The sequence below is a fragment of the Homo sapiens genome, chromosome 7, assembly GCF_000001405.40.
Source record: "Homo sapiens chromosome 7, GRCh38.p14 Primary Assembly".
Classification (NCBI taxonomy): domain Eukaryota; kingdom Metazoa; phylum Chordata; class Mammalia; order Primates; family Hominidae; genus Homo; species Homo sapiens.
Window position 1 is genome coordinate 74,114,263 of NC_000007.14, and position 8,263 is coordinate 74,122,525.

Here is an 8,263-nt window from a genome sequence, read left to right on the forward strand (position 1 = left end):
GATCTGTGTTGGCTTACACCTGTAATCCCAGCACTTTGGGAGTCCAAGATGGGCAGATTGCTTGAGCCCAGGAGTTTGAGACCAGCCAGGCAACATGGCAAAAAAATAAAAAAATTTGTCTCTACAAAAAAATTAAAAAATTAGCTGGCATGGTGGTGAGTATCTATAGTACCAGCTACTCAGGAGGTGGAGGTGGGAGGATCGCTTGAGCCTGGGAAGTTGAGGCTGCAATGAGCTGTGTTCGTGCCACTGCACTCCAGCCTGGGCCACGGGAGGGAGACTCTGCCTCAAAAAAAAAAAAAAAAAATCAAACCCGAAAAGCAAAAAACATAGACCTCACCTGCTTATTGGGAATATTCAAGATAAAATTAGGCCAGGCACGGTGGCTCACGCCTGTAATCCCAGCACTTTGGGAGGCCGACGTGGGCGGATCACGAGGTCAGGAGATCGAGACCATCCTGGCTAACACGGTGAAACCCCGTCTCTACTAAAAATACAAAAAATTAGCTGGGCATGGTGGCAGGCGCCTGTAGTCCCAGCTACTTGGGAGGCTGAGGCAGGAGAATGGCGTGAACCTGGGAGGCAGAGCTTGCAGTGAGCTGAGATCGTGCCACTGCACTTCAACCTGGGCAATAGAGCAAGACTCCAACTCAAAAAAAAAAAAAAAAAGATAAAATTGGGCCAGGTATGGTGGCTTACTCCTGTAATCCCAGCACTTTGAAAGGCTGAGGCAGGTGGACCACTTGAGGCCAGAAGTTGAAGACCAGTCTGGGCAACATAGCAAGACCCTATCTCAATCAGTCAATCAACCTAAATAAATAGTAAATCTGGTGGCATGCCAAGCACAGGACCTGGGTCTATAATCAAAATTCCTGTCTTGATGGGCACAGTGGCTCACACCTGTAATCCCAGCACTTTGGTAGGCCACAGTGGGTGGATCACCTGAGATCAGGAGTTCGAAACCTGCCTAGCCAAGTATGGTGAAACCCGTCTTTACTAAAAATACAAAAATTAGCCAGGCATGGTGGCAGGCGCCTGTAATCCCAGCTACTCGGGAGGGTGAGGCAGGAGAATCGCTTGAACCTGGGAGGCGGAGGTTGCAGTGAGCCGAGATCGCGCCACTGCGCTCCAGCCTGGGTGACAGAGCAAGACTCCGTCTGAAAAAAAAAACAAAAGAATTCCTGTCTTCTCTCCGAAACAAAGCAGCATCAGTGCCCCCGCAGGTGGGAGGGAGCGCTTGCAGGAGGGAGCAGTGGGTCCGCCACGACGGTCTGGGGAGCAGGTGGGGAGGGGGCAGAGGGTGCAGCGTGTGGTGGGAGGGAGGAAGCCACACTGCTATCTTCAGGTGCTTCCCGCAGCTCCATTTGCAAAGAGCGGATGGGTTTGGGGAAGGAAGGGGTCCCCACCCTGTGCCAATACAGCGTATCAGAGGTATGTTCTCTGGGCTGTCTACAGGTTGGCTTGGGGTCCTGGGGAGGGGCAGGCCAAGCGGGCAGTACTAGGATCGGGTCCCAGCATGACCCGGCTTCACCTTCCCAGAACAAGAATGTGGTGGTGGCTGACTTCGGGCTGGCGCGTCTCATGGTGGACGAGAAGACTCAGCCTGAGGGCCTGCGGAGCCTCAAGAAGCCAGACCGCAAGAAGCGCTACACCGTGGTGGGCAACCCCTACTGGATGGCACCTGAGATGATCAACGGTGAGTGGTTCAGCCCTGCCCATCATGGCCCTCACGGGAAGCCATGGGGGAGCCCAGGAGAGCTGTAACCTCCCAAGCCCCTGGCCCCTCCCAGCCTCCTTGGCTCTTCAGTTACCCTGTGGGTCCTGTTGCTCCTATAACACACTTAGTGGCAGCCAGGCACGGTGGCTCACGCCTGTAATCCCAGCACTTTGGGAGGCTGAGGTGAGTGGATCACCTGAGGTCAGTAGTTGGAGACCAGCCTAGCCAACATGGTGAAACCCCCATTCTTTACTAAAAATACAAAAATTAGCTGGGCATGGTGGTGGGTGTAATCCCAGTACTGTAGTACTGTAATCCCAGCTACTAGGGAAGCTGAGGCAGGAGAATCGCTTGAACCTGGGAGGCAGAGGTTGCAGTGAGCCGAGATCGCGCCATTGCACTCCAGCCTGGGTGACGAGCGAAACTCCATCTCAAAAAATAAATAAATAGAAGACACTTAGTGGCTTAAATAAATGATCATACAGTTCTGGAGTCTGAAGTCCAGCGTCAGCCTCACCGGGCTGAAATCAAGACGCCGGTAGGGTGAGCTCCTTCTGCAGGCTCCGGGGCACCTGTTTCCTGACCTTTTCTGGCTCGTGGAGGCTTCCTCATTCCTCCTGTTGCTGCCCCCTCCTCTGTCTTCAGGGCTGGCTGCAAAGCATCTTCTCTTCTCTGATCTCTGCATCCATCCCCGCATCTCTTTCCCTGGCTCTAACCTTCCTCCTTTTTTTTTTCTTTTTTAAAGAGGGTCTCGCTCTGTTACTCAGGCTGGAGTGCAGTGGTGCCACCATAGCTCACTGCAGCCTCAACCTTCTGGGCTCAAACTGTCATCCCACCCCAGCCTCCTGAATAGCTGGGACCACAGGCATGCAACACCACACCCAGCTAATTTTTTTATTTTTTATTTTTTATTTTTTTTTGAGACAGAGTCTCGCTGTGTCTCCCAGGCTAGAGTGCAGTGGCGTGATCTCAGCTCACTGCAAGCTCCGCCTCCTGGGTTCACGCCATTCTCCTGCCTCAGCCTCCCGAGTAGCTGGGACTACAGGCGCCCGCCAACACGCCTGGCTAATTTTTTGTATTTTTAGTAGAAACGGGGTTTCACCGTGTTAGCCAAGATGGTGTCGATCTCCTGACCTCGTGATCCGCCCGTCTCGGCCTCCCAAAGTGCTGGGATTACAGGCGTGAGCCACCGCGCCTGGCCAATTTTTTAAATTTTTAATAGAGACGGGGGTATCACTATGTTGCCCAGGCTGGTCTCAAACTCCTGGCTTCAGGCGATCCTCCTGCCTTGACCTTTCAAAGTGCTGGGATTCCAGGCATGAGCCACCATGGCCCTCCATCCTTCTGATAGGGACCCTTACGGTGACATTGGGCCCACCTGGATAATCCAAAAGCAGCCCTCCATCTCAAGACCCTCAACTTAATCCCATCTGCAGAGTCCGATGGAAGGTGGGACGTATACAAGTCCCAGGGATCAGGACGCAGTCATCTTTGGGGATCATAGTTCTGCCTCCCACAGGGTCTGCTTCCCTCAGTCCATTTCTTTGCTGTCAATGGTCCTATATATGCCCAGATTATAGGTTATAAAGTCCTTCTACAAGCAGGTGACACATGAACACAGGTTCAGGGCAGGCAGACCCCAGCCATCACCTCATCATAGTTAACCTAGTTAAATTAGCCTGGCATGTGGCGTGGTGCCTAATGCCTGTGGTCCCAGCTACTCAGGAAGCCAAAGCGGGAGATTTACTTGAGCCAAGGAGATCAAGGCTGCAGTGAGCTATGATCATACCACTGCCTTCTAGCCTGGGCAACGGAGTGAGACCCTGTCTCAAGAAAACAAAAAATAGGCCAGGCACAGTGGCTCACACCTGTAATTCCAGCACTTTGGGAGGCTGAAGCAGGCGGATTGCTTGAGGCCAGGAGTTCGAGACCAGCCTGGCCAACATGGTGAAACGCTGTCTCTACTGAAAATACAAAAATTACCCGGGTGTGGTGGCACAGCTACTAGGGAGGCTGAGGCAGGAGAATCACTTGAACCCAGGAGCAGAGGTTACATTGGGCCAAGATTGCACCACTGCACTCCAGCCTGGGCAACAGAGGAAGACTGTGTCTCAAAAAGAAAAAAAAAAAAACCTTCCTGTAATCCCAGCACTTTGGGAGGCTGAGGTGGGCGGATCACGAGGTCAAGAGATTGAGACCATCCTGGTCAACATGATGAAACCCCATCTCTACTAAAAATACAAAAAAATTAGCTGGGCGTGGTTGCACGCGTCTGTAGTCCCAGCTACCCGGGAGGCTGAGGCAGGAGAATGATGTGAACCCAGGAGGCGGAGCTTGCAGTGAGCCGAGATCGCACCACTGTACTCCAGCCTGACGACAGAGTGGGACTCTGTGTCAAACACACACACACACACACACACACACACACACACACACACACACACACAGAGTTAACATAGCCCGCAAAGAAGACTATAAAACAGTCTTAGTGGCCGGGCGCAGTGGTTCACGCTTGTAATCCCAGCACTTTGGGAGGCCGAGGCAGGTGGATCATGAGGTCAGGAGTTTGAGACCAGCCTGGCCAACACAGTGAAACCCCATCTCTACTAAAAATACAAAAATTAGCTGGACATGGTTTCGGGCGCCCGTAATCCCAGCTACTCAGGAGGCTGAGGCAGGAGAGTTGCTTGAACCCAGGAGGCAGAGGCAGGAGAGTTGCTTGAACCCAGGAGGCAGAGGTTGCAGTGGGCGACAGAGCAAGACTCTGTCTCAAAAAACAAAAAAGTCTTAGTGTTTCCTATGTTTAGGGATTAGTGTGAGGATTAAAGGTTGTAAACTCATTTCCACCTAGTTGGCATTCAGTAAATGAGAATTGACATTTAGTACTAATTGTTTCGGGTATTTTGTTTTTTGTTTTTTGTTTTTTGTTTTTTCTGAGACCGAGTCTTGCTCTGTCATCCAGGCTAGAATGCATGGTGCGATCTCGGCTCACTGCAAGCTCCGCCTCCCGGGTTCACACCATTCTCCTGCCTCAGCCTCCCACGTAGCTGGGACTACAGGCGCCCGCCACCACGCCTGGCTAATTTTTTGTATTTTTAGTAGAGACGGGGTTTCACCATGATCTCGATCTCCTGACCTCGTGATCCACCCGCCTCAGCCTCCCAAAGTGCTGGGATTACAGGTGTGAGCCACCGTGCCCGGCCAGTTTTTTGTTTTTGAGATGGAGTCTTGCATTGTCACCCAGGCTGGAGTACAGTGGCGTGATCTCGGCTCACTGCAACCTCCACCTCCTGGGTTCAAGTGATTCTCCTGCCTCAGTTTCCCTAGTAGCTGGGATTACAGGCACCTGCCACCATGCCTGGCTAATTTTTCTATTTTTAGTAGAGATGGGGTTTCACCATGTTGGCCAGGCTGATCTTGAACTCCTGACCTCAGGTGATCCACCCGCCTCGGCCTCCCAAAGTGCTGGGATTACAGGTGTGAACCACTGTGCCCGGCCATGTACCGATTATTTTTAACATCATTAAGTAGCTGGTATCATTCCCATTTTACAATAAGGAAACTGAGGCTCAGAGAGTCTGTGTCAGTTTCCTGAGGTTGCTGTAATAAATTGTTAGAAACTTGATTATTTAAAACAGCAGAAAATGGTCAGGCACAGTGGCTCACACCTGTAATCCCAGCACTTTGGGAGGCCGAGGCGGGCAGATCACTGGAGGTCAGGAGTTCGAGACCAGCCTGGCCAACATGGTGAAACACCATCTCTACTAAAAGTACAAAAATTAGCTGGGCATGGTGGCAGGCGCCTGTAATCCCAGCTACTCGGGAAATTGAGGCAGGAGAATCGCTTGAACCCAGGAGGCAGAGGTTGCAGTGAGCCACAATCGTACCACTGCACTCTTGCCTGGACAACAAAGCAAGACTCCATCTCAAGATAAAATAAACAGCAGAAATTTATTCCCTCTTAGTTTTGGAAGCCAGAAGGTTGAAATCCAACAGGGCTGCGCTCCCTCCAGGGCGATCTAGGGGAGAATGCATTCCTTGCCTCTTCCACCTTCTGGTTGTTTTGCATTCCTGGGCTTGTGGCCGCATCACTCCAGTCTCCACCCCTGTCTTCACAGGGCCACCTCCTCCTCTTCTGCTGTGTCTTCTCTGTGTCTCTCTCAAGAGGGCATTTGCAGTGGCATTTGGGGCCCACCCAGATCATCCAGCATCATCTCATCTCCAGATCCTTAACTTAATCCCATCTGCAAAAGACCCTTTTTCTGACCCAGTAACATTCACAGATTCCAGAGACCTGACATGGTTCCCTTTTGGGACCAGCACAGAGTTCATGACTTGTGCAAAGTCACGCAGCTGATCGGTGCCTCGAACTCCTTGTCCAGGGCTCTGCCCCTTGCTCCTCAGAGCTCCCAAAGGCTTGCTCAGACCTGGTGGGGTTGGGGGAAAGAGCCTAAGCCTGGGTTCCCATAGAGGTTGCCGGCATCTGCCTCCTGGGCCTGGACCTCCCGGCCGGGGCATCCTCCCAGCTGGCCTGGTCCCCTGCCTTTTGGCATCCCTGGCACCCCCATGTGTTCATCTGCTGACAGTCGGTCTCTTTATCCAGGCCGCAGCTATGATGAGAAGGTGGATGTGTTCTCCTTTGGGATCGTCCTGTGCGAGGTAGGTCCAGGGTTGGGTAGCAGCGGTGTTGAGGCCTGGGCTCCTCCCCACTCACCCAGGCTGCAGGCTCAGCATCTGCAGGGGCCTCATGCCAGGAAGCCTGCCCACAGCAAGGCATGGGCTGGCCCCCATGGGGTACTGCAGTCAGGCTGCAGCCAGGCCCAGTGCCACCTGCCCTCAAACCACCTGGATGGCACCCAGATGCCCAGGCTGAGGGCCCCCTGGAGTAACTGCCGGGCCTTGTACTGGACAGATCATCGGGCGGGTGAACGCAGACCCTGACTACCTGCCCCGCACCATGGACTTTGGCCTCAACGTGCGAGGATTCCTGGACCGCTACTGCCCCCCAAACTGCCCCCCGAGCTTCTTCCCCATCACCGTGCGCTGTTGCGATCTGGACCCCGAGAAGAGGTGAGTGGGGTGGGGCCCTGGCCTGGGAGACGGTGGGGCCGATTCCCGGGACAGCCAGACCCACCGTTCCCCACCCACCTGTCACCCAGGCCATCCTTTGTGAAGCTGGAACACTGGCTGGAGACCCTCCGCATGCACCTGGCCGGCCACCTGCCACTGGGCCCACAGCTGGAGCAGCTGGACAGAGGTTTCTGGGAGACCTACCGGCGCGGCGAGAGCGGACTGCCTGCCCACCCTGAGGTCCCCGACTGAGCCAGGGCCACTCAGCTGCCCCTGTCCCCACCTCTGGAGAATCCACCCCCACCAGATTCCTCCGCGGGAGGTGGCCCTCAGCTGGGACAGTGGGGACCCAGGCTTCTCCTCAGAGCCAGGCCCTGACTTGCCTTCTCCCACCCCGTGGACCGCTTCCCCTGCCTTCTCTCTGCCGTGGCCCAGAGCCGGCCCAGCTGCACACACACACCATGCTCTCGCCCTGCTGTAACCTCTGTCTTGGCAGGGCTGTCCCCTCTTGCTTCTCCTTGCATGAGCTGGAGGGCCTGTGTGAGTTACGCCCCTTTCCACACGCCGCTGCCCCAGCAACCCTGTTCACGCTCCACCTGTCTGGTCCATAGCTCCCTGGAGGCTGGGCCAGGAGGCAGCCTCCGAACCATGCCCCATATAACGCTTGGGTGCGTGGGAGGGCGCACATCAGGGCAGAGGCCAAGTTCCAGGTGTCTGTGTTCCCAGGAACCAAATGGGGAGTCTGGGGCCCGTTTTCCCCCCAGGGGGTGTCTAGGTAGCAACAGGTATCGAGGACTCTCCAAACCCCCAAAGCAGAGAGAGGGCTGATCCCATGGGGCGGAGGTCCCCAGTGGCTGAGCAAACAGCCCCTTCTCTCGCTTTGGGTCTTTTTTTTGTTTCTTTCTTAAAGCCACTTTAGTGAGAAGCAGGTACCAAGCCTCAGGGTGAAGGGGGTCCCTTGAGGGAGCGTGGAGCTGCGGTGCCCTGGCCGGCGATGGGGAGGAGCCGGCTCCGGCAGTGAGAGGATAGGCACAGTGGACCGGGCAGGTGTCCACCAGCAGCTCAGCCCCTGCAGTCATCTCAGAGCCCCTTCCCGGGCCTCTCCCCCAAGGCTCCCTGCCCCTCCTCATGCCCCTCTGTCCTCTGCGTTTTTTCTGTGTAATCTATTTTTTAAGAAGAGTTTGTATTATTTTTTCATACGGCTGCAGCAGCAGCTGCCAGGGGCTTGGGATTTTATTTTTGTGGCGGGCGGGGGTGGGAGGGCCATTTTGTCACTTTGCCTCAGTTGAGCATCTAGGAAGTATTAAAACTGTGAAGCTTTCTCAGTGCACTTTGAACCTGGAAAACAATCCCAACAGGCCCGTGGGACCATGACTTAGGGAGGTGGGACCCACCCACCCCCATCCAGGAACCGTGACGTCCAAGGAACCAAACCCAGACGCAGAACAATAAAATAAATTCCGTACTCCCCACCCA

The 8,263-nt window shown here is 54.4% G+C and overlaps 1 protein-coding gene across 2 annotated transcripts in view, besides 2 other annotated features; it reads left to right on the forward strand.

Annotated features, from left to right (window-relative positions):
• Positions 1-8,263, forward strand: part of LIMK1 (LIM domain kinase 1) — a 38,722-nt gene extending 30,459 nt beyond the window's left edge. For both annotated transcript variants that reach the window (NM_002314.4, NM_001204426.2), the window contains 4 exons: positions 1,540-1,696; positions 6,321-6,376; positions 6,630-6,787; positions 6,877-8,263. In NM_002314.4, coding sequence (NP_002305.1) covers positions 1,540-1,696; positions 6,321-6,376; positions 6,630-6,787; positions 6,877-7,039 — 534 coding nt within the window. In that variant the 3' untranslated portion in view covers positions 7,040-8,263. The remainder of the gene's footprint in view (positions 1-1,539; positions 1,697-6,320; positions 6,377-6,629; positions 6,788-6,876) is intronic.
• Positions 959-1,594: an enhancer, noted in NCBI's record as "H3K27ac-H3K4me1 hESC enhancer chr7:73529551-73530186 (GRCh37/hg19 assembly coordinates)". NCBI's record gives its function as "activates a minimal SCP1, AML or CMV promoter by ChIP-STARR-seq in naive H9 embryonic stem cells {active_cell/tissue: H9 hESC(naive)}" and the evidence as "EXISTENCE:reporter gene assay evidence [ECO:0000049][PMID:30033119]".
• Positions 1,595-2,229: an enhancer, noted in NCBI's record as "H3K27ac-H3K4me1 hESC enhancer chr7:73530187-73530821 (GRCh37/hg19 assembly coordinates)". NCBI's record gives its function as "activates a minimal SCP1, AML or CMV promoter by ChIP-STARR-seq in primed H9 embryonic stem cells {active_cell/tissue: H9 hESC(primed)}" and the evidence as "EXISTENCE:reporter gene assay evidence [ECO:0000049][PMID:30033119]".